The sequence below is a fragment of the Homo sapiens genome, chromosome 19, assembly GCF_000001405.40.
Source record: "Homo sapiens chromosome 19, GRCh38.p14 Primary Assembly".
Taxonomy (NCBI): domain Eukaryota; kingdom Metazoa; phylum Chordata; class Mammalia; order Primates; family Hominidae; genus Homo; species Homo sapiens.
Window position 1 is genome coordinate 224995 of NC_000019.10, and position 25308 is coordinate 250302.

The 25308-nt window shown below is 45.1% G+C and overlaps 2 long non-coding RNA genes and 1 pseudogene across 19 annotated transcripts in view; 1 reads left to right on the plus strand and 2 right to left on the minus strand.

Moving 5' to 3' along the window:
* Nucleotides 1-21538, minus strand: part of LOC101928344 (uncharacterized) — a 42519-nt gene extending 20981 nt beyond the window's left edge. For 5 of the 17 annotated variants that reach the window (XR_002958438.2, XR_002958445.2, XR_002958443.2 and 2 more), the window contains exons 1-7: nucleotides 21403-21531; nucleotides 14136-14245; nucleotides 12942-13073; nucleotides 9432-9647; nucleotides 8483-8548; nucleotides 6263-6321; nucleotides 4642-5170 (exon numbers count right to left, since the gene is read on the minus strand). This is a non-coding gene — a long non-coding RNA (uncharacterized LOC101928344). Of the gene's footprint in view, nucleotides 1-4641; nucleotides 5171-6262; nucleotides 6322-8482; nucleotides 8549-9431; nucleotides 9648-12941; nucleotides 13074-14135; nucleotides 14246-21402 lie in introns of all 17 variants that reach the window. The other 12 variants (XR_007067067.1, XR_007067062.1, XR_007067066.1 and 9 more) reach the window with 8 other exon arrangements.
* On the plus strand, nucleotides 5068-5171 carry GTF2IP19 (general transcription factor IIi pseudogene 19; annotated as a pseudogene).
* LOC107985295 (uncharacterized) lies at nucleotides 17745-20337 on the minus strand. Of its 2 annotated transcripts, none has more exons than XR_001753827.2 (2): nucleotides 18135-20337; nucleotides 17745-18038 (listed from the first exon to the last, which is right to left on the minus strand). It is a non-coding gene; the product is annotated as an uncharacterized LOC107985295 (long non-coding RNA). The 2 variants fall into 2 exon arrangements; XR_001753826.2 differs by having other exon boundaries at nucleotides 17745-18041.
* Nucleotides 21539-25308: the final 3770 nt, after the last annotated feature.

Below are 25308 nucleotides of genomic sequence, written 5' to 3' on the forward strand. Positions count from 1 at the left end.
ACATTCATGAAGGCCAAAGAGTTTTCACCTAATTTAATCTGATGGGTATGTGACCAGAGTCTTTCTAGGGAATAGAGACTCCCAAACAGTTCGACTGGGAAGTGAGGAGAGAATTTATTACTCAAAACCAAAGGGAAATGAAAAGAGGCCAACATAGAATGTCATTATTCTTTCTTGGTGGGGAATGGATTCCAGAGTCATTCTGTGACCTTTACATGACCTCCTTATTAGCATCTAAAAGCTTCCAGTGTAGGATGCAGCCAGCTAGGTTCTCTTCTAATGTAATAAAATTTGCTTCAGCAAATCTTATGCAGAGCCATCTCCAGGCTCCAGAAACAATAGGCTATAAATTACTGGATCTCCCATTTGATACAATGAAGTATGAGCATGGTCCTGAATGACTCCTCTACATACTACTCTGGGTGGCTTGAAGTGAATTTGATACAAGAACTGGAGCGAGGGCAAAGCAGAGCTAGATCTAGGATTAATGTGCTTGGGCCCAGCTCCTCACTACTCACCTATAAGTCTAGTTCCAGAACCCAAGTAGAGGATGGGGAAACAAGGCTCCTGACTTTTTTTCCCTAATGTCTGCATCTCTTTCACATTTCTTATCTCCTTGCAAAGAAACTAAACAGGCTCAACTGAAATAACTAAATGATTAAACCCTATACAGAGACTCTCCAAAGACTGACAAAATATCATTCAAGACTGTTACACAGACAACCTTGAGGATGACTTGATGTACCAGTGATCTACAATATTTGGGATCATTCCAAATTCCCATCAAGGATCTGCCTATATCAACAAAGGAGCCAAGGACCAACCATTCAAATGGGCCCTGCTGCCAAGCCTTTTTTTTTTTTTTTAACAATGCCATCTCTTCATATTGTTCCATTTAACAAAACTGCAGCCCTTCATCTATCCTTAAGTCCCTTGGCCAATGGTACAGGGCCAGAGTATGCTACTCCCTAGCAGGAAATCAACAGGATGACCTACTAAACACCATTCAGAAGATGCTAAGACCCATGAATTGCAACAGGAAAGAAAAGACAGAGAATTAGTCAGACAGGTACATGCTGTGCCAAAAATGCACTACAGCCCCCACCCAATTCTGCCTAATCCTAGCTGGGCTGACACCAACCTGATGAGACAGGCCTATAAGATCTCAAACTAAAACAGAAACTCCTGAACTGGGTTCTTTCGAGCCCAGGAAGCAGCAGTAAATCATTAAAGAACAGATAAGTTCTTAAGGTGAGGGAGAGTTTCAGATAAATGGAATGCTGGTAGAACACAGGGCCCAAAGGAGCAAAAGTTAACCTAAGCCCAGGTAGAACCTTGTTTACTAGAGTATTAGGCATGGGTTTGGGCAACTATTCTAACCAGAGAAACTGGCTTCAGTGAGGGCAAGTTGGCAATCCAAGGTATAGCATGCATAGGGCTGGCAAAATTCAGGGTGACTGAAGCAAAAGCTTCATAACCAGAAAGACCACATCTGGGGGTAGAGCACAAAACTCTCAAGAGATGAATCTTTGTAAGAGTGAGGCAGAACTATATAGCAGTTTTAGGAGATCTGTTGGTGCCCAGCAAGAGCTCCAAACGGGCTATATGCAGGGATGCAGGCTGTAGTCTCAGGAGAGGAGGTTCACAAAAGTCATTCAGTCCAAGACCTCAAACTGCGTTCTCTACTAAAAGGAATCAAGGTTCCCTAGAGAAACGGCTGACTCCATGTATGGTGCAGTATATTGATCCTGGAACATCTGTTTTGCCAGAAAGCAAGAAAGCCATCAAAGTCCAACAGGATCACGTCAAAAAGACATGAAAGTCAACTTGAAGAGATAATTATTAACCTAGATGAGACAATGTAAGCATCCAAAACAATAAAGACTGCAATGGCCTGAAATACATCAAATGCAAACAATAATCTATGAGTTCATAATGGTATTCAGAAAAAAAAACTACTGGTCATTAGAGGGAAGGTTACTAGGTCACTAACTTACTACTCTGAAAAGTGACTTAAGATGAGAGGTAGGGTGGAGAATTAGCTATTTATTCAGTCTTTCCTGTACAAACATAAATTTTTAGGGAGATTGAAGCAGATGAAACAAATCTGGAAAAATGGAGGTAACTGCTTAATCTGCGGGTTGGGTGCATGGAGGTTCAACATATTTCTTTTGTGTATATTTGAACCCCCTACAAAAAAAGCACAAGACAGAATGTGAGCCAAGCAGCTTAGGGTTTAGGCAAGGCTTCTGCCTACAAGAGACACTAGGATATGAGGGGTAGTTTTAGCCCTAATGGGCTGAGCCAACTGGAGGTATATAGGGAAGTGCTAAATTGCAGAGGTATCATGTTGCCCAGCACTTGATCAAATCCTAGATCCTAGGTCTGCTTGGTGGCATGCTTCCTAAGTAGTGGATCTGAGGCTACCTATAGAACTTCCTTTGCAGTCATAGTTCGCTCAGAAACTACAAAAGTGCTTGCTCTTGAAAATGGAGTCTTTGTCCATTTCATGCTTCTATAAAAGAATACCACAGACTGCATAATTTATAAAAAGGAAAAAAGGAAGGAAAGAAAAAAGGAAGGGAGGAGGGAAGGAGGGAAAAAGGGAAGGAGGGAAGGAAAGGAAGGAAGGGAAAGAAGGAAAGGAAGGAAGGGAAAGAGAGAAAGAGGGAAGGAGGAAGGGAGGGAAGGAGGGAGGGAGGGAGAGAGAGAGGGAGGGAGGGGAAGGGAAGAAAAGGGAAGAGAAGGGAAAGGAGGAAGAAAAGGAAAGGAAAGGAATAAATTTTATTTCTTAACAGTTCTGGATGTTAGGAAGTCCAAGGTTGAGGGGCCTGCATCTGGTAAGGGTCTTCTTGCTGCATCATCCCACTACAGAAGGCAGAAGGAAAAGAGAGTGCAAGAAAGCAAGAGGGCAAAAGGGGCTGAACTCTGTTTTATAATAAGCCCACTCTGTGATTACTAATCTATTACCACAATAACAACATTAACTCATTCATGAAGGCTATTTTATTAGGCCCCACATCCCAACTGTTGCATTGAGGATTGAGTTTCCAGCACATAAACTTTGGGGGACACATTTAAACCATAGCAGAGCACTTAGGTTAATTCAACTAAGAGGAGCTGGGAAAATCAAAGGCATGAGAAAGACAGCAAAAGCTAGCAGAGAGAAATGCATAGGTTAAGGAAAAAAGTCACAGTGAATCCTGTAGTGCAGGCTACTTTATCAAAAGCACCTAAAAAAGATCTCATTAACTCCCCCAGCTCACCTCCACGCACATCTAAAGAGCCACACACAGCACCACCAAAGGCAGCACAATGAGAACAGCATTCTCCTCAACAGACAAGCTGGGAGTATCTAGACACCCGACCTCAATAGCTCCAGAACAGCCCTAAAACATTTCCTCCCTAACCACCACTCAAGTCACCAGCTTGGAAAGTATTAAGAAAACCCAAATCCTGACACACCACTATGAAACAACTTAAAACAGCAAAGAACAACCCATTTAAACAGCAATGCCAGCTGTTGGGGAAAAAAGGAACAATGAGTAGAGGAGAAACAGACCACTCGGGGTCCACCAAGACCCAGTCTCTCAGCTTCAGCACTTTTAAATGCAGAATCCATATCCCTCTGGGGCCTGTGGAGCTCCACAAGGCATGTCGTCCTCAAAGATAAATGAGCACGCAAGCTGGCTAGAAAACCACTAAGGGTATTTATTCTTTAAAGAATCTTTACAGGGTCAAAGAAGAATGGGTCCTAACTGGCTATGTGAACTCCCCACAGATTCTGAGGATGATGTCAGTATCCCTTTCCAGATGTGTTTAACACTTTGCAGTCACTTGTATTCCTGCCACTGAGTGCCAGTGCTTTGCTAATTTGAACTGATTCCAGCTCACGCTGACCCCAGCTCCCTGGATGTTACCATTAGCCAAGACTGTCACCCATACTGTACCCTTTCAAAGAGTCCTAAAAACAGCTCTTCACCTACTCTTCCAAGACAAGTAAAAATGACTGCCAAAGAAATGGGGAAAAAAGATTCAGAGAGTGAAAACAATTAATATACTAACAAGAGAGCAAAAAGCAAAGGGGGAGGAGAAACTAGGAAAATCATATATGGGCTCTCACCTATTTCCAAAGCTGGGCTAATGTCCTTTTGCTTGTGTCTGAATAAGGCACCAATTTTAAGCTGCTAATGAAAAAAAAAGAAAAAGAGAAAGAAGCAGGCCCAGGCTGGGCGCAGTGGCTCATGCCTGTAATCCCAGCACTTTGGGAGGCCGAGGCGGGTGGATCACCCAAGGTCAGGAGTTCTAGACCAGCCTGGTCAACATGGTGAAACACCATCTCTACTAAAAATACAAAAAATTAGCCAGGCATGGTGGCGCATGCCTGTAAATCCAGCTACTAAGGAGGCTGAGGCAGGAGAATTGCTTGAACCTGGAAGGCAGAGAATGTGGTGACCTGAGATCACGTCATTGCCCTCAAGCCACAGCAATGAGAACAAAATTCGGTAAAAACAAAACAAAACAAAACAAAACCACCATAAAATAACTCAGACTTAATTAAATACAACCCTAGTGGTGAATGACTAAAAATGGATTACTCATAACAGAGATAACGGTCCAATAAGAATCCAGGAATCTTACCTTTTAATAACAAAAAAATCCTTTCCTTCTAAAGTAACATCCTCTCAAGGCCAGGAATTCCATTAGTAGAAAGCCTTCCTAAAAAACAAAATTCCTGGCCAGGCATGGGTTCACGTCTGTAATCTCAGCACTCTGGGAGGCCGAGGCGGGAAGATCACTTGATATCAGGAGTCGAGGCGGGAAGATCACTTGACGTCAGGAGTTCGAGACTGGCCCGGCCAACATGGTGAAACCGCATCTCCACTAAAAATACAAAAATTAGCCTGGTGTGGTGGTGGGCACCTGTAATCCCAGTGACTTGGGAGGCTAAGGCAGGAGAATTTCTTGAACCCAGGAGGCAGAGGTTGCAGTGACCAGCAAGGTTGTGCCATTGCACCCCAGCCTGGGCGATAAGAGTGAAAACTCCATCTCAAAAAAAAAAAAAAAAAAAAAATTCCTTTGGGAAGGCCTTCTACATAAAAATCTTCAACATGAGACTGGAAAAAAGGGTATGGGATCATCACCGGACCTTTGGCTTTTACAGCTCGAGCTATAAGAACAAAAAGAAAAAGGGATATCATTTAAACACAGTATGTAGAAAAGAATAATTATTGAATCTGTATTGGTCTTTAACTTTTACACTTTGATCTTTAATTCTGTTATTGTGATTGAGTCCAAAGAAAAACAGTATGAGTAAAATAAAAAGAACACCAAAAATGCTAATATTCTGTTTACCGAAGTCTGTAGTGAAATATCCCATTAAATCCAAGTGCAGTGACACATCCATAATCCCAAGCACTTTGGGAGGCTGAGGCGGGTGAATCTCCTGAAGTCAGGAGTTCAAGGCCAGCCTGGCCAACATGGTGAAACCCCAACTCTACTACAAATACAAAAATTAGGCAGGCGTGGTGGCAGAGGCCTGTAATCCCAGCTACTTAGGAGGCTGAGGCAGGGAGAATTGCTTGAACCCAGGAGGTGAGCTTGCCATGAGCTGAGATCATACCACTGCACTCCAGCGTGGGTGACAGAACAAAACTTCAACCTCCAAAAAAAAAAAAAAAAAAAAAAACAGCTAGCAGGTGACATTTGCTATAGGGAGACTAGGGATATGATCTTGCTGCAATCCTTCCATTTTAGTAAATCTAAACAAGTGTGAATCCATTCTGTTTCGTCCCCACTCCACTCCAGAGCCAAAACAAGAAAATCAATTATATTTCTAGTTCTTTAAAAACATATCTAACTAAATCATCTAATTAAAAGATAATATGCATGGTTCCATACTCTAAAAGAAAACTTATGTCCTGCATATCATGGACATTTGATGAATGCTTATTCAGTTGACTGGTGTAGACTTCAATAATAACCTGTTCAATGCATTATGCCAGATGAATCTTGCATCTCAAAAGTAGAACAAATATTGTTCTTTCAGTTTTGTCTACCCATAAATGCAATATTTACTAATAAAAAGAAAATGAGTTTATTGTTCTAGAGAGTATGAGAATTTTGACAACATGAATTCTCCTGTCCTAGGACATAATTAATACTTAGAGGCATACTATTTCATGTGGAAGCTACCATTAAATCAATGTTAAGTGTTAATTACCTCACATAATCTTCTAATCTGACTTGACTGAAGACGTACCTGACAAAGTTGATTTATCAAGTTGTAAATCTTCACCTATTGAATTCATAAGTTCATGTCTGAAAGGTGAGAATAAATACTTAATATTCACTAGGCAATATTCAGCAAAGTAATATCCACTAGTACACATTTAATATTTCATCATGAACTGCGGGTGTGAAGAGAAAAGACAGGCTGGGCACAGTGGCTCACACCTGTAATCCCAGCAGTTTGGGAGGCCGAGGCAGGCAGATCATGAGGTCAGGAGTTCGAGACCAGCCTGGCCAACATGGTAAAACCCCGTCTGTACTAAAAGTACAATAATTAGCTGGGCATGGTGGCAGGCACCTGTAATCCCAGCTACTCGGGAGGCTGAGGCAGGAGAATTGCCTGAACCCAGGAGGTGGAGGTTGCAGAAACCATTATCACGCCACTGCATTCCAGCCTGGGCAAGAGAGCAAGATTCTGTCTCCATCAATCAATCAATAAAAATATAAGGAGGAAGCATTTACTGTGTATTTATATGTCTGGTATTATGTGAAGCACTTTACTATCTTATCAAATCTTCGGGACAGATCTTCAGTTCTCATGACCACAAAAGAGGATACTAAAGCTCAGACAGGAGAAGAGACGTGGCCAGCCTGTGTCCCCAGGGCCTATGGTCTTACCACTAGGTTACAGTGTTTCCAGATACCACATGTTGTGAGATTTTTGCCTTAAAATGAACCAAAAAAAAACCAAAGGTGAAAAAGGCATAAGCTATTAAAAAGTGGGAGAAACACTAAGAGAACCTTAAGCATGTAACTAAAAATATTATGGAAATGTTATTGAATTCATTAGCAAATTTAGTGCTAGGTTTTCATTGAGGAGTAGGTTATATTACTCATGATGAAGAAAAATGTTCCTTTTAAGTATATTAACATAAATGCCATCAATATTGTTTATCATGTTTAAATGTTCACTTAAAGCAATTCAGTTAAAATTCTGCATATCATACAATTTTATAGTTTGCTAGTAGGTTACAAGTAAATAGTCACCCAAATAAAAACATCATGTTTTCCACTGGTTGTTGCTCTTTTTTAGGTGAGTATTTGATGTATACCAACAGAGAGAGGATAATAACAAATCGCTAATTTCTTTCATCACTATATAAAGGTGGCTTCAGGATAGAATAGTATCAGGGCAATGATGAATTTGAAATCTAACATCAATTCAGTGATGCATCAAGATAAAAGCAGAGACAACAGGGGCACCTTGCTGAGTACTGAACATTTTATTTATTTACTTATTTATTTTGAGATGGAGTTTTGCTCTTTTTGCCCAGGCTAGAGTGCAATGGTGCCAACCTCGCCTCACTGCAACCTCTGCCTCCTGGGTTCAAGCGATTCTCCTGCCTTGGCCTCCCGAATAGCTGGGATTACAGACATGCGCCACCACACCCGTCTAATTTTGTATTTTTAGTAGAGACGGGGTTTCTCCATGTTGGTCAGGCTGGTCTCGAACTCCCGACCTAGATATCTGCCTGCCTTGGCCTCCCAAAGTGCTGGGATTACAGGTGTGAGCCACCGCGCCCAGATGAATTCCAAATTTAACAAAGCAGACTAAGAGAAACAATTCATTTAAAAAAATAATATTTGGCCAGGCATGGTGGCTCACACCTATAATCCCAGCACTTTGGGAGGCTGAGGTGAGTGGATCAGGAGGTCAGCAGTTCAAGACCAGCCTAGCCAAGATCATGAAACCCCGTCTCTACTAAAAATACAAAAATCAGCCAGGCGTGGTGGCTGGTGCCTGTAATCCTAGCTGCTCGGGAGGCTGAGGCAGAGAACTGCTTGAACCCGGGAGGCGGAGGTTGCAGTGAGCCGAGATCGTGCCACTGCACTCCAGCCTGGGCGACAGAGTGAGGCTCCGTCTCAAAAAAAATAAATAAATAATTCAATGAAATTCCTAAGATCCAGGGCTTTGCAATAAATATGTAAATAAATTTCCAATCTCCATACTGAAAGTTTAAAAGAAATGCTAACTAATAACTAAAGAAATACAACTTTTCCTCAGCTTTGCAGCAATCTAGAAACAAAGTGTGTAGACACTACAAAGCACCTTACAAGGAGAAACATGTAAGGATGGCATGACTCGCCGGCAGCCCTGGGCTTGTCCACGGTACCCCCATGATGAACAGTAACTCCACTGTGTAAACGCCCATGAACATAAGATTACAAGACTTTTCCAGTTTAGACATACCATATTTTCTTTCAGACAATTCTTCAGTTTGTTTACGTAGATCAGCGATACGATGATTCCATTTCTCTGAAAACCAAGCAAAAGTTGCTTCTCAATAACACGTCCCTATGTCAGAGCAGCACTAACGTATAATGACTGATGTCATATATTTTACATTCTAACAGTCCATATCATTTTACTGCTTTCAAGAAAAAATTTCCCCTTCTTGGTGGTTCTTAGAATTGGTTTAATGGGAGACTATTAGAGAAGCTGAAAAGCAGGAGGGCAGAAAAGTTCAATCAAATTAAACACAATAACAGGGAGGTCACAATGAGGCGGTCTCCAGGGGTCTTTTAGCAAACTTCCTAAAACATGTCTCAGCTGTGTGAAATAAGACTTTACAGCAGCCGGGTGCAGTGGTGCAGGCCTGTAATCCCAGCACTTTGGCAGCAGAGGCAGGCGGATCACTTTGAGCTCAGGGCAACATAGCCAAAACCCCCCTCCCTAGCCCCACCCCCACCCCGTCCCTACCAAAAATACAAAACAGCAGGGCATGGTGGCGGGCGCCTGTAGTCCCAGCTACTCAGGAGGCTGAGGCAGGAGAATCACCTGAACCCAGGAGGCAGACATTGCAGTGAGCCAAGATCACGCCACTGCCAGCCTGGATGACAGAGCAAGACTCCACCTCAAAAAAAACAAAAACAAAAACACAAGGTTAAGAGGGACCCCCGACCTTACAGATACAAGTTTAAGAGGGACCCCTAAGCAAAAAATGCCAACCCTTTTTCTCCCAATCATTGAAACACCAGGAGGGTGTAACAGTTTTGCAGCCTAGCTGTAGCAGGCTGATGCCCCCAAGATGCCCATATCCTAATCCCGGGAACTGGTGAACATGACCTTATATGGCAAAAGGAGCTTTGCAGATATAATGAAGTTAAGGGTCTTTGGCTTTTGGGGTTGATGTACTCACTCGGATCCTTGTAAGAGCAGAGCAGGTGATGGAGAGGGTGGGAGGTGTAGTGACAGAAGCAGGAAACTCCAGTCATTCGAGACGGGCAGCACAGGCTGAGGAGTGCAGGCCACCTCTACGGCCAGGAAACAGATTCTCCCGCAGAGCCTCGGAAGCTACCGACCCTGCTCCCACCTTGACTCAGTAGGACTTACTGTAGAATTCTGGCCTTCAGACCTGTAAGGGAATACATTTTGGTTGTTTTAAGTCACTAAGTGTGTGGTAATTTGTTGCAGCAGCCACAGGAAACTAGTATTGTAGTGAAGCCTCAAAACCCCCTGAAGGGGCTGGGCTCAGTGGCTCATGCCTGTAATCCCAGCACTTTGGGAGGCCGAGATGGGTGGATCACTTGAGGTCAGGAGTTCGAGACCAGCCCAGCCAACATGGTGAAATGCCATCTATACAAAAAATACAAAAACTAGCCGGGCATGGTGGCACATGCCTGTAATCTCAGCTACTCAGGAGGCTGAGACAGGAGAATTGTTTGAACCCAGGGGGGCAGAGGTTGCAGTGAACTGAGATTCCACCACTGCACTCCAGCCTGGGTGACAGAGCGACGCTCCATCTCGAAAACAAAACAAAACAAAAAAACCCCACCTGAAGGTTTCCAGTTCTGCCAGCACTCTCCCACCCAACCCCCAGAAACAGACATTCCATTGCTGTGGGCCATGGACAGGCAGAAGGAAGCACCTCCTCATGGCAGAGGCCTACCCAGGAGAAACCCAAGGGAAGGCACTGCTGGGCTGGCCCTCTCTGCCAAGGCCATATTCTTTTTTTTTTTTTTTTTGAGGCCAGTTTCACTCTGTCTCCCAGACTGGAGTGCAGGGGCACAATCTCGGCTCACTTCGACCTCTGCCTCCCCAGTTCAAGTGATTCTCCTGCCTCAGTCTCCTGAGTAGCTGGGATGACAGGAGTGTAGCATGCCTAGCTAATTTTTGTATTTCTAGTAGAGATGCGGTTTTGCCATGTTGCCCAGGCTGGACTCGAACTCCTTGCCTCAAGCAGTCCACCTGTCTCAGCCCCGCAAAGTGCTGGTATTACAGGAGTGAGCCACTGCACCCAGCATTTGCCAAGACCTTTGATGGCAGGCTTTTTCCAGGTGATCAGTCCTTGTCTGGTCTGGCTCTGCCCCACTCTCCTTCTCACCTAGTTGGAATCCCTAGCTACTTTTCAGTAGAGGAGAGTGTGTACCCCAATCCCAGCTTGGTTCAGATCTGCATTTAAGTCATGGAACCTGGCTGCTCCCCAGGTCCTGAAGAAAAAAACGGTCTCTCTGTGGGTATGATAAAGGATGGGCCTGTCCCCAGGACCCTGTGAGAGGGAAGCCCAATGTCCCACCAGGTTGGCAGGGCTGGGGAAGGGAAAGTGTTATGGCAGCCCCAAGAAAAAAAAGAGGCAGCAGAGGGAGCAGGACAGCGCTCACATGGAACTCATGCCACTGCCTGAGGGGAGGGAGGAGTGCACGCCAGTGACGTCAGGGGGCAGAGAGGCGCAGTTCCAGGGCGGCTTTCCCCCTCACTTCCTGCCATGTTACTCTGATCGCCTCCAGGTGAGCCTGCCCACTTTGTGCCCAGGGGCCTGTAGAAAACCACAGCTCCCCATGGTTATGGCCCCAGGAGTGGGGCAGAGCAGGGAGGAGTCCTGGACAGAGGAGAGGAAGGGGCAGGAGGGAGTGGGCCTCAAACTCCAGGAGGGGGCCCTTCTCATGGGTCCTGCTTTCTGGCTTCTCCTTCCTTACCCCTGGGCTGATCACTTGGGGAAGAACTGAGACAAAGTTTCTCACCCTCAGGCCCAAAGGGTTTAATTACTGGGCCCTTAGGGAGGTGTGAGCCCCCTGAAAGGATGCAAGGTTTGGTTTTGTTTTGTTTTTTGAGACAGAGTTTCGCTCCTGTCGCCCAGGCTGGAGTGCAATGGCGTGATCTCACCACACTACAACCTGCGCCTCCCAGGTTCAAGTGATTCTCCTGCCTCAGCCTCTGGAGTAGCTGGGATTACAGGTGGCTGCCACCACGCCTGGCTAATTTTTTGTATTTTTAGTAGAGACAGGGTTTCGCCATGTTGGGCAGGCTGGTCTTGAACTCCTGACCTCAGGTGATCCGACTGGCTCCGCCTCCCAAAGTTCTGGGATCACATCAGCCACTGTGCTTGGCCACGATGAAAGGTTTTGTGTGGAGAGCATGTACATGCCTTTCTGGGAAAACAGTCCACAGCTCTTATTCTCAGCAGGCTTCACGGTGAAAAAAGGTTAGAACTCTTGCTACAGAGCTGTGGAAGCAGCCAGGTGAGGGGCCTGCCAAGGGCACTCTGGGCACTACCTGGGCACTCTCGAGCCCATCATCCCCTAGGCAGGCTGCACTGCTTGGTATTTGCAGAGCTGAGGGGGTGGGGCATGTGGGGACTGTGAAATCGCCCTGAGATGACCCACAGTCCTCAGCTGGGAAGTGAGCGCTGCATCTCCTGCAGCGTCCTCCATCCCTACAGCCATGGGGCCAGGAGAACCGGCCCTTGCAGCAAGTGAGAAGCCTATTATTGATTCCCTCCCTAGCCATGTAGACAGTGAACCAAGACACTCATATCAGGTAAATGCCTTGTTCTCTGTTACCAAGGTAACCAGTAGGCATTCCCAGATACAGCGAAGGTCCTCACACCAAGATATGCACCTGGCCACCTGAGGAAAGAGAAAGGACTATCTGAGGGGATGGGGCTGAGCTGGGTGTGGAGTGGTCCTTGTGGGTCTTGGAGAGTGGGAGGGGGAGCAGCATGAGCCAGGCCTCAAGGCAGAAGGACAACCAGGAGACAGCCTGGAAAAAGTGCTGGACCCACAAGGGCTCTAGGCTGGCCAGAGGGGAGGTGGGATAGGCTGTAAAGTCCTGAGGTCTGAAGATTGGCCCTGGCAGGAAGAAACCAGGTAAGGTGGGGTGTTACCTACACCCTCGGGGCCAGATGCAGGCCAGAGCCAGCCAATTACCAGGCCCTTAGGGAGGTGTGAGCCCCTTGAAATGATGCAAGGTTTTTTGTTTTTGTTTTGGAGACGGAGTTTCGCTCTTGTCACACAGGCTGGCACCTTTGCCCAGAGCAGGCACCAAGACTTCTTGCTCTGGGTGTGACCTCAGTCTGGGTAAAAGCCCCAGCCCCCACCAGCACCACCTACCCCCTAGACTACTTCAGGTGCTGAGCCCAAGCCAGGGGCAGGAAGCTAAACTGATGCCTAGGGTAATCCCAACAAAGTCCCTGGTTCCCCGCAGCTATGGGGCTGATGGGGAATTACAGCCCAAACCCCAGATGCTGGCTCTCAAACTAACACTGAGCCCTCAGTGCCCACAGGGAGATACAATCAGCACACTTTCCAGATGGGGAAATGGGATCAGAGAAGTGCAACAGCCTTGCCCAATGCCCCAGACCAGGGCTCCAGGCCCAGAGTGTTCTTTTGTCACTGTGTTCAGAGGGCAGCAGCTGCTGTGATGTACCCACCTGAGCCTGGCAGCTTTCTCCAACTTTGGAAGCCCAGGAGCATGGCCCCTGTCCACAGATGCACCTGGCACGAGGCGTGCCCAGAGGGACAGAGGCAGATGAGTTGCGTCTCCTCCACTGGATTGTGAGGGCCTAGAAGGAGACAAGGGTCTGCTTGAGAAGGCAGTGAACAGCGAGCAGCCTGAGGCAGTGCCCCTCTGGATGGATGTGCAGTGCCTGGATGGAACCTGGCTCAGACAGAGCTCAGTTCTGCAGGTCCCTGAGGCATGGAGAGTTCACAGCTACCAAGTGTAGGAGTCTGGATTCAAAGCCAACGGCGTCACTCCAAAGTCCCTGCCCTAGCCCCTGGACCACCCTTGCAGGCCCATCAGATGCTCAGGCCAGCAGCACAGCCGGCCAAGACCAGGGAAACTTGGGGAGCCTCAGAGCACCCCCAGGTATTCCAACCTAACCCTGGTGCCCCGCCTCTCACCGCCCTTCTTCCTGCTTAACCTCAACCCCTACACAAAGCCTGGGCCACTTCATGTGGCATCAAACAGACGCCTCAATAAATCAGTCTAATCTCGAAAAAAAAAAGACTTAACAGATATACAATTGCACGTTAAAATGCTAAAGACCATAAACATATAACAACTTAAAGTACATATAAATTCAATATATATCCAATCATTGTAACTATGACACGGTAGAATATTAAAATACTATTTTCAAAATGTATACAAGCTTAATGTTCTATGTATTCAAACTATTTATTCAAAATACAAATCATCAACATAAATTGCCACTAATATTCAGTCCCTTCACAGGACATGATTCACTGGGAGTTAATAAATTAGCAGCTGGCAGGCAGTGACACACCGCAAAAATGAAAACCAAGAGGTGAAATAGTTCTGAAATAAAGGTTTTAAAGCTAACAGAAATCACTGAATTACTAAGTCATTAGCACTAATTTTGAGCCAACTAACTAATTAATATGAGATGATACAATGTCCTATACTTTGGTAAATACAGACTATGTTTAAACAATGTCTGTAACGTGACTTGTAAAATGCTCCTGGCTTTACAAAGATGTGATTAAGATGTAGTAACACATGCTAAACCATTTCCCCCTGCAGAGCATGTGGTAACTTTCATCAGTCACATTGAGAGTCCAGAAGATAAAGGAAAAGGTCATGGATTTTGCTGAGAACTTACCAGAGTTGAACTCCCTCATTTTCCGTTCCCCAGCATTGGCGGGTTCTGGGACTGGTGGCTGTGGCGGCTCGTTGGTCTTTGTCTCTTAGAAGGTGGGGAATAATCATCATCTTGAAAAAGAAAAAATGGTCATTACTGAAGGAACCATCTTAGGTTACAGCCACCTCTGGGTCAATTCCCAACATTCAAAAGCTGAGCAGGGCTTTAAAGCTATCTTATTAATAATTATTTCTGTATTGCGAACTTCAGCATACTTTTTTCTAGTTACATTTGAAATGTTATTCTTTTGGGATGTGCTCAAGTGAGTACTGCTTTTTCCTCTGCCTTGCTTCATTACTTTTTAGTTTCCTTCATTTGAATCATCATTGTAAGTCTCCCCTTCTCCTCAAATAACTTTCAAATTGCTGCCAAGAACTATGTTCTATCTTAAGGCTTTTGAGAAAAAACTTTCAATGAAGATAGCCGCCTAAAGTTATACAAATATAGAAGAAACGGGATAAAATAAAGCTTAGATTGGAAAAAATATTTAAGATTCTACAAAATTCACGCGTAAACAAGGGAAGCTGAGTAATTGTATGTTCAAATACTTTTAACAAGTGCAAAACATGTAGGCTTAAAGAAATAGAGCTGGCCAGGCATGGTGGTTCACGCCTGTAATTCCAACAGTTTGGGAGGCCGAGGCAGGCAGATAACTTGAGGTCAGGAATTCGAGACCAGCCTGGCCAACAGAGTGAAACCCTCTCTCTACTAAAAATACAAAAATTAGGCCAGGAGTGATGGCTCATGCCTGTGATCCCAGCACTTTGAAAGGCCGAGGCGGGTAGATCACCTGAGGTCAGGAGTTTGAGACCAGCCTAACCAACATAGGGAAACCCCGTCTCTACTAAAACTACAACATTAGCCGGGTGTGGTGGCACATGCCTGTAATCCCAGCTACTCAGAAGGCTGAGGCAGGAGAATCCCTTGAACCCAAAAGGCAAAGATTGTGGTGAGCCGAGATTGTGCCATTGCACTCCAGCCTGGGCAAAAACAGCGAAACTCCGTCTCAAAAAAAAAAAAAAAAGAAAAAATTAGCCAGGAGTGGTGGCGCATGCCTGTAATCCCAGCTACTTGGGAGGCTGAGGCAGGAGAATCGCTTGAACCCAGGAGGCTGAAGTTGCGGTGAGCTGAGACCGCACCATTGCACGCCAGCCTGGGTAGCAGAGCAAGACCCTGTCTCAAAAAAAAAAAAAAAAAAAAAAAGAGAGAGAGAAAGAAAGAGGGCTACATTATTTATGAAACAGATACTGTTAACTCAGTCACCAGAAAGCCTGTGTATAAATGAGCAGTGAGATATTCAAGCACAGCACACACACACTTCTCAGGACAGCTGTCGTGAGAGTTCCATGCTCATTTCCTTCTGGGTACATCAGCAACTCACTCTGCTATGATCCTGCAATACATCTCATGTTAGAATTAGAGACATCTGGGCCAGGCACAGTGGCTGACGCCTGTAATCCTAACACTTTGGGAAGCCGAGGCAGGCAGATCACCTAAGTTCAGGAGTTCGAGACCAGCCTAGCCAACATGGTGAAATGCTGTCTCTACCAAAAATACAAAAAATTAGCTGGGTATGGTGGCGCACGCCTGTAATCCCAGCTACTCGGGAGCCTGAGGCAGGAGAATCGCTTGAACCCGGGAGGTGGAGGTTGCAGTGAGCCGAGATCGTGCCACTGCACTCCAGCATGGGGGACGGAGAAAGGCTCTGTCAAAAAAAAAAAAAAAAAAACAGAAAAAGAAAAAGAAAAAGAAAAAAGAATTAGAGACATCTGGATCAAATCAGCTGCCAGTCTCGCAAAGTGTCGGGTAATATCCTATTAAGATTGCTGCTTACACATCATCTATAAAATACTGAAAATATCATTTTAAGAAATCTTTTTTTTATTTTGAGACAGAGTTTTGCTCGTTGCCCAGGCTGGAGTGCAATGGTGCGATCTCAGCTCACTGCAATCTCTGCCCCCTGGGTTCAAGCAATTCTCCTTCCTCAGCCTCCTGAGTAGCTGGGATTACAGGCATGCACCACCACGCCTGGCTAATTTTGTATTTTCAGTTGAGACAGGGTTTCTCCATATTGGTCAGGCTGGTCTCGAACTCCTGACCTCAGGTGATCCACTGACCTTGGCCTCCCAAAGTGCTGGGATTACAGGTGTGAGCCACCATGCCTAGCCAAGAAACCCTTATTTTAAAACAAGCCAGGCGCGGTGGCTCATGCCTATAATCCCAGCACTTTGGGAAGCCAAGGCGGGTGGATCACTTGATGTCAGTAGTTTGAGACCAGCCTGGGCAACATGTTGTAACCCCATCTCTACTAAAAATATATTTTAAAAATTAGCTGGGCATGGTGGTGGGCACCTGTAATCCCAGCTTCTCAGGAGGCTGAGGCAGGAGAACCACTTGAACCTGGGAGGTGGAGGTTGCAGTGAACGGAGATCACGCCACTGCACTCTAGCCTGGGTGACAATAGAAAGACTCCATCTCAAAAACAAAACAAAACAAAACAAAACAAAAAACCACTAAAAAAAAGACTCCATTTCAAAAACAAAACTAAAACCAAAAACACAACACAAATGTAGTACACAAATGAAAATAATTACTGTGTTAAACACAGCTTCATAGAAAATAAAAGACCAATCAAATACAATAAGCTGCCTTTTTAGATGGGTATGTTATTCTTCTTTCACAGCTAAAGAAACAGGCTCAGAGAATGTTATTTGATTGGACCGTGTTGCATTTCTGGACAGTGCAGCTGAGATCAGACTTTGTGTGTAACTCCACTAGCCTACCAGGGTGCCTCTCATGAAGGTAAGAAATGTAAATCTGGCCTAATATACAAAGTTGCCAGGGCAGCACTGGGTCAATTCTACATACAGTACTTCTATGTTCATCAAGGGAAATCTTAAGGGAAAGTGAAAATGCTTCTAGAAGGCGACTGGACACCAGCGCCTTTGCTTGTTGCCTTTGGGCTCTTCTTCTAAGGCCAACAGTGACCTGAAATTATTGACTGGCTTTTCCAATCAAGTGGACAAAATGGTACCAAGGTCGCCAACATCGATGTAGAACATCGATGTTCTACAACATTGCTTAACGCAAGGGGAGACGCTCCTGACTCAGAGTGTTTAATTGCTCACCTACTTCTTTTTCTGCCCTCTTGGGCTTCTGAAATGAAAAGAACCCTGGGGTGATACAGTGAGTCAAAGGGGTGCCAGCCGCATCACAGCAAAACAGATTCCTAAAAAATCCCTGGCCTAAGATGACAGCCTTGGCTGGATCAGTTTGAATGTGCTGATAGTGGACATGGTAGAATGAAGGTGGTTGAAATGTTCATATTAAAGAACTTCCACCCAGATTGCAAGAAAAGAGAGAGGAATGGAGATGGCAGCACGAGCCCCTACAATAAAAGCAGATGTTTTGAGATCAGTTATATTTCTTCTGACAAAAATTAAAGATAGAAACCAAAGTTTAGCCTGAGACTACAATTAATTGGGCAATAAGCCAGAGGCACATATGGCATAGACAGATTTAAACATTTCTCCCTGATATTAATACAAACACTAAAATTACAAATGCATGGATTCCAAATAAAACAAATATTTAAAAAATTTAATGAATAAACACTGGGGTCTACAGTAGTATTTGAAGGAGATCTCACAAACAGGTTTGGTTTTTGAAGGTTAGAACTGGTGGTCTAGAGAATTCATTTCATTCCAGAGAAAGAAAGAGAGGAATTTCTTGGGTTCCTTCAGGAATGCATCTAGCTTTGCCTCATCTTTGTTTGAACTATGGATACGGCAGAAGAAAACATGAGGATTTCACAGATTTAAGGTACAAAAAGTCACTGGGTTCTCTAAGAAGTCTGGGATTCTTCTGCTGGAAAAATAAGTTTGTTGAGAAAAAATGAGTTGGAGGAAGCTGTTATTGAAGTCAAGCAGAATTGTTTTTACTAATCTGCTTATTACCCACTCTGTAGTGTGGAAACAAATTATTCATGCACAAGGTCCTCTTACTGTTCCTAGAATGCAGTGGAAAGAGAACAGATTAGTTTTCCTCCCTCAGAACACAATCCCTAGAAACAACCTACCTCAGATGAGATATTGCCTAATTATTTTCAAAAGACAGTGAAACATCATGGATGTAAATGTTTGCTGCAAAATAAATACATGCTAGAAACAGAAGCATCTGGGTCACAGCTATATTAGAGCTACCTGTGTTCCCCTGTCACTGACATTAAAACAAAAATGTCCAATACAATCATTCACAGCGTGGGAGAGGGGAAGTTGAAGGATGGAAAGGCCAGGCATAAAAGGATTTCAGAATTTCCGTCCATAAGGAAGTAGCTTTGTGCACTGTCTGTTACTGTGTGCAAGGTGAAATTTGAAGAATGAAAACGTGCAGTAACAAGGGCTCCTTTGTCCAACTCACCTCTCCAGATACCAAGTTTCAGACATGTTGCATTTTAATTGAAAGGTTGATATAATTTTTTTTAAAGAACACTTGCGGTGTTTGAAGTGACAAAGGCTGCTGTGACAAAAAAGCAGGGAAAGGGAATTTTTTTTTAAAAGCAAACAACAACAACAAAAACCCCACAGAAAAGCAAACAACAAACAAACAAAAAACAGAGGAAGAAGTCGAACACCCTGGGCTGTGACTACTTCCAGGAAGGGGCTACAAGAGGCAGTTGGAAATTCTATTTGTTTTGCAACTGTGGGTTTTCCGGCCCGCTTCCTTTCTAAAGTATATTACTCTGCTTTTGGTTCATGAAGTTATCCATTTCTGTTTTCTGGAACAGCTATGTATTTTCTTTATCTATCATCTATCTATCTATTTACCATCTATCTTTTCTACCTTTCGCTATCAAGAGCTTGGGTCAAGCAGGATAGAATTCCAGTGTATGTTCACTCTACCATTTAAAACAAGAGCTCTTGTAGGCATTCTCCATCACATCATAAACCTGAGCTTTCTAAAACAGGGTGTGGCAAACTACCATGCATGGACCATGTCTGACACAGTCTGCGTTTGTAAGTAAAGTTGTAATGGGACACAGCCAATACATGTGTTACATAATGTCTCTGGCTATTTTCATGGTATAATGGAAGAGCTGAGTCATTGAGAGAGAGACCATATGGCTTGGAAAACTTAAAATATTTAACATTTAGCCCCTTGCAGAAAATACTTGCTGACTCTTGTTTAAAAGATCTCTGTTTAGAATGCTACCTATTGAGTTCTGGATAGAATCACAACTCTTTACCACAATCAACACCGCTTCAGCCCTGCTTCTATATCCAGCCTCATCTATTTCTGCTCCTCCTCATTTTCCTTCTGGCCATGCTGATGGATTGTCAGCTTCCCAGATGTGTGAGAATCTCTCCTCCCTTCCTAACATTCTCATGCTCTCCCTCTGCCTCTCAAGAACTTCCTGCCCCATCTCTCATGACAAATCCTTTCTACATTCTTTAAGATGCAGCCCTTTTGCTCCTTCCTTAAGGATGTCTTGTCTGGCTCTATTTTGGGTGACGTGCTCCTTCTGCATCTCCCAGAGCCAGCCTGTGTGTGTCAGCTACAACATTTCTTTGCATCTCTGTGTCATATATCACCAAATCTGCCTAAGCTTGCATGAGTCACTGCATGACAACTTCAGACTCCACCAGCATTGTCCCCACTAACCACAAGGCTTAGACATTCGTCCAGTATGCTCGGGGTTGTGGGGTGGTAGCAGTAACTGGCTGGTGACCATCATTTCTTACATCAGAATCAAATCTGTAGATCTCTGCCATTCATAAGTATTTGGAGTTTAAAATTAGCATAAAGATTTTCCTTAAAATAAGAAGAAAGGCCTTGAGTAGGCTTTTGGAACATAGGATGTTTCCACTGGTTCATTTCTGTGTTCAATATTCCCACATGAATCTGAACACGACTCTGCTCTTAGTAGCTATGTGACCCTGGGAAAGTCACTCAATCTCCCTCAGCTAAATTTTGTTGTGTGAGTAATGAGGAGAGAGTTGTGATTTGTATTTAGTGAATAATAACAAACAAAAGGCATTTAGCTTTCTGGAACCTGGTATGTAGTAGAACCTCATGAAATACTAGCTCTGTTGATAAAACTAGACTGAAAGAAGCTTTCAAAGTCAACAACAGTTTGAGGCAGTGAAGGACGTAGAGGAGAAGCTGCTGCTGCAGTCTGTAGCTCCTGGAAGCCCGTTTTGTCCATGATTTAGCAGGAATGCATTACCCTTCCATGAGGAGGCACAGCCCACAGAAACCAAGGCCATTCTTTGAAGAAAAACATGTCTTAATAGGGTTTACATTATGTAACAGTGTAATACAAATAATAATTTATTATTAGTAATAATATAAAATTATTTACAGTACCGTAACCCTAACTCTAACCCCTAATCCTAACCCTAACCCCTAACCCTAATCCTAACCCAAACCCTAACCCTAACCCAACCCTAACCCTAACCCAACCCTAACCCAAACCTGACCCTAGCCCCTAAACCTAACCCTAACCCCTAACTCCTAACCCTAACCCCTAACCCTAACCCTAACCTTAACCCCTAACCCCTATCCCTAACCCTAACCCCTAACCCCATAACCCCAACCCTAAACCCAACCCCAACCCCAACCCCTGACCCTGACCCTGACCCTGACCCCGACCCCTAACCCTAAACCCTAACCCCTAACCCTAACCCTACCCCTAGCCCGAACCCGAACCCTAACCCTAACCCCTAACCCTAACCCCTAACCCTAACCCTACTCCAACCCCAACCCCAACCCTAACCCCTAACCCCTAATCCCCTAACCCTAACCCCTAACCCCTAACCCTCACCCTAACCCTAAACCACATGAGCAATGTGGGTGTTATATTTTGGGTGTCATGTGTGCCTTAGGAATGCTGCATTTGTATTCCAACGCTGCAACTGGACCCTGCAATGCAGCCCCTCGCCTTGCCTTGGGAGAATCTCGGTGCGCAGGATTCAGAGGGGCTTTTGGTTTCCCGTTTTCCACACTGAACCGTTCTAACTGGTCTCTGCCCTTGATTATTCACGGCTGCAACCGGGAAAGATTTAATTCACCGTCGATGCGGCCCCGAGTTGTCCCAAAGCCAGGCAGTGCCCCCAACGTCTGTGCTTAGGAGAATGCTGCTCCACCTTTACGGTGTCCCCCAGGTCTGTGCTAAGCAGAACGCAGCTCCGCCCTCGCGGTGCCCTCAGCCCGCCCGCCCGGGTCTGACCTGAGGAGAACTCTGCTCCGCCTTCGCAGTACCACTGAAATCTGTGCAGATGAGAACGCAGCTCCGCCCTCGCGATGCTCTCCGCGTCTGTGCTGAGGAGAACCCAACTCCGCTCTCGCAAAGGCACGGCGCGCCGGCGCCGGCGCAGGCAGGCGCGGCGCGCCCGCGCAGGCGCTGTTCGGGAGACGCGGCGCAGGGCATAGACGCACGCCTCCGCGTCCCCGGAGGGGAGGGGTCTCTGGGCGGGCGGGAGTGAGGCGCGGCGCAGGTGCAGGCGCAGAGACGCACGTCGCTGGGCTCAGGGTGGCGGGGCGTGTTGCAGGTGTACAGTCGCACGCCGCTGGGCGGGGAGCGCGGGAATGGCGAGGTGCAGGCGCAGACACACGTCCCCGGCGGCGCGGCGCACAGACGGGTGGAACCTGAGTAATCTGAAAAGCCCGGTTCGGGTGCCCCCTGCTTGTACCCGGGCACTACAGGACCCGCTTGCCCACGGTGCTGTGCCATTGCGCCCCCTGCTGGCGACTAGGGCAACTGCAGGGCCCTCTTCCTTACAGTGGTGTCCAGCGCCCCCTGCCGGTGCCGGGGCACGGCAGGGCTCTCTTGCTCGCAGTATACTGGCGGCACGCCGCCTGCTGGCAGCTAGGGACATTGCAGGGCCCTCTTGCTCACATTGTAGTGGCAGCACACCCGCCTGCTGGCAGCTGGGGACACTGCTGGGCCCTCTTGCTTGCAGTGTAGTCGGGGCATGCCCTCTTCTGTCCGCTGGGGGCACTACAGGATCCTCTTGCTCACAGTGTAGTGGCAGCACGCCCCCTGCTGGCAACCAGGGCACTTCACGGTCCTCTTGCTCATGGTGTGGTGCCCCTACGCCACCTCCTGGCAGCTAAGGACACTGCAGGGCCCTCTTGCTCACAGTGTAGTCGTCGTTCGCCCCCTGCTGGCAGCTAGGGACACTGCCGGGCCCTCTTGCTGACACTGTCGTGGCTGCACGCCACCTGCAGGCAGATGGGGACTAGGCAGGGCCCTCTTGCTCCCGGTGTGACGGCTGGCGTCCCCTACTGGCCGCCTCCTGCACCACTTAAAGTCAGAGCGCCAGTTATTAATCCCCATCAGTTCTGTAAATTAAAACTGAAAAGGAGCTATTACTGGGGAGAGCTGATGTCCCAGTTATTAACTTGGAAGAAAGATTTTCACCAAGAGGCAGTACAAAGATGGAAGATAACTTCATTGAAAAGAAATACAGTGTAAAGAGCTTATTGTAGGAAAATAGGGAGGAGTGGGTTCATAGTGCATGAAAACAGCCTAAGAGTCCTGTGCAGGGAATTTTATTTTGGACTTCTTCACATTCCTGCCTCTGTCTCAAGTCTATGCTTGTTTTCCTTGGTTTTCCTGCTACTGCCTTAGGTCCCTGACTTGCCCCACTTAGGCTTGTGGGACCTCCTGTTGATTGAGGTACACGTGGGGTGATGAATCTGAATCCACTCTGGCACCAACCTCCTTCCTGCCATCCCAGGCAGGCTGACAGCAGTCACGTTTGTATCTACTGCACCTGCCTCTTTTGAATGTCTTTCTCTGCCCTAATCTGTACTTATGGTGCCAGGTTTCTCTTAGGAATGTCCCCTTTGTCCTTCTTATCAGCATGTAGCTAGCAATATTCTGACATTTTTATTGCAGAGTGAATGATGATTGGGGCATCTTAAGAGAAGTTCTAGGGTGTTTCTGCGTAGGTACCTCTTCTCCCTCCTAACCACAATTGACAAGTGCCCATCCTCTCCAGCACTGGAGATGCTACTAATATGTGCATTTTTGGTGGTCCCTCCAGGTGAGCCTTCACAGACTTTCCCTTTTCCAGGAGCTCCCCCTCCTGTTCATGTCTAGCTAGCTATCTACTCTAACAGAGCCCACTATCCTGTGTCTTTCCCAAAAATAGTGAGGGAATTATTAATTGGAAACCATAAGAAATCATATGCATGTAGATGAAAACTTTACAACTTACACAAATAATCACTCAAAATCATCCTTACACTAAAAAAGCAAAACTATACAATTTCTAGAAGAAACTATAGAAGAAAAGCTATGTGCCTTTGCGTTTGGTAATGAATTTTAACAAATGACACAGAAGGTTGATATACACAGAAGAAATGACAATGTGGATTTCTTAATATTTACAGTTTATACTCTGGAAGAGACCTTGTTAAGAGAACCAAAAGACAAGCCACATATTGAAGAAAATATTTGCAAAATACAGATCTGAGAATTTGTATTCAAAATACATAAAAAATTGTTAAAACTAAACAATAAGTTAAACAGCCCAATTAAAAATGCACACAGATCTGAACAGACGCCTCACCAAAGAAGATCTACAGATGGCAAGTACACTTACAAAAAGATGCTCAACATACTAGAGAACTAAAAACCACAAAAAGATAGCACAGCTGGTCTATATCTCTTAGAACTGCTAAACTCTTTAACAAATGACAAATTGCTGGAGGAAAAACAAGAACTCTTTTCATTGCCGGTGGAACACAGTGTATAAGACCAAAATATGCCACCCCAAAATATAATGGTAGGAAACCAGAATATGCAACCCCAAAATATGTCCCTTTGGCTTAAGAATTATTCCAAGCTAATTATTTTGAAAAAAAAAAACGCTAACAAAGGAAGTTGTGAAAACAGAGTAGAAGTTACACTTGTGTAAGGAAAATTTACATCTATAAAGGAAATCACCATTTAAAAGCTACCTCTCTCGACACCAAGAAGAGAAGGATAACTAAATCACTAAAGAGTCTTATCAATGGAGAATGCATGGACTTAAGTCTGTATAACGAACCTTACCCTTGTCTAATGTGCTTTTGCTGGTTAACTCCCCAATACTGCACCTCAAATCTTCTTTCTTTAAGTTGAAGACAGTACTTATGCTTGAATTGAAAGCCACCTGTTGGAGATTTACTCATTTTTCCCTGAGTATCTCCCATGTAACCATAAGGTATACGTGTTTTTCTACTTTTCTGTTTTTCTCATTTTAATCTGTCAGTTTTTACAGAGCATCCCATCTAAGAATTCTGAAAACAGAAAATTATTTTTCCTCCCCTATTACAAGTTGGGCATTTTTTTCCAAAGCTAAACAAGTCTCACCTTACAATCCAAAAATAACATTCCTAAGTATTTTGACAACTACTTTGATGTTATTTCCAATCAAAAGCTACCATGCAATTATTTACATAAGCCCTATTCATAATGACCAAAGGAAAAAAACGGAATCAGAAAGTCTTACAATAGATGACTGTGTGGGAATCCACTCAGACATCAAAAGTTGTTATAAAGATTATTTAAATGAAAACATTTGAGATACTGAAGATAAAAGAAGAAATCTTACCACAACTTACTTTGTCCAATTAAAGCAGAGCTCCCAGAAAAATACAGCTGCCATTAACCCCATCCAAGGAGTTTCTTGCAAATTCAGCTGCCATGAAGACAGCGTACTCTTTCGCATTAGCATTGATAAACAAAAATTAAATTATAAGCTCCCAACTGACTGAACAGAACCACTCTTGGCTGAGGGGACCACAGAGTAACTTTCAAAACTGAGTTCTCAGCTTTGCTAGGATGGGATGATGGGGTTAACATACACATCGTTAAACCCACTCCTTTGCTAACCATGATGAGGCTTTCTTCCCTAAGGATTTAACAGAAACCAGCCCTTTCAAAGCCTCCACTACTGATATCAACCTCTCCTTTCTTGCCTGATAAGAGACCACCCACAACAGAGAGGTTCTGGCCAGCGTACAGAGGATGCACAGAGCGAGTTTTCATGTCCTCTGCTTCACCTTTTAATGTCAGAGGGCTGAAAACTCCACCCTGGGATCATGCTAACACTGCCATTTTTTGTACATGGGACCCATGAAG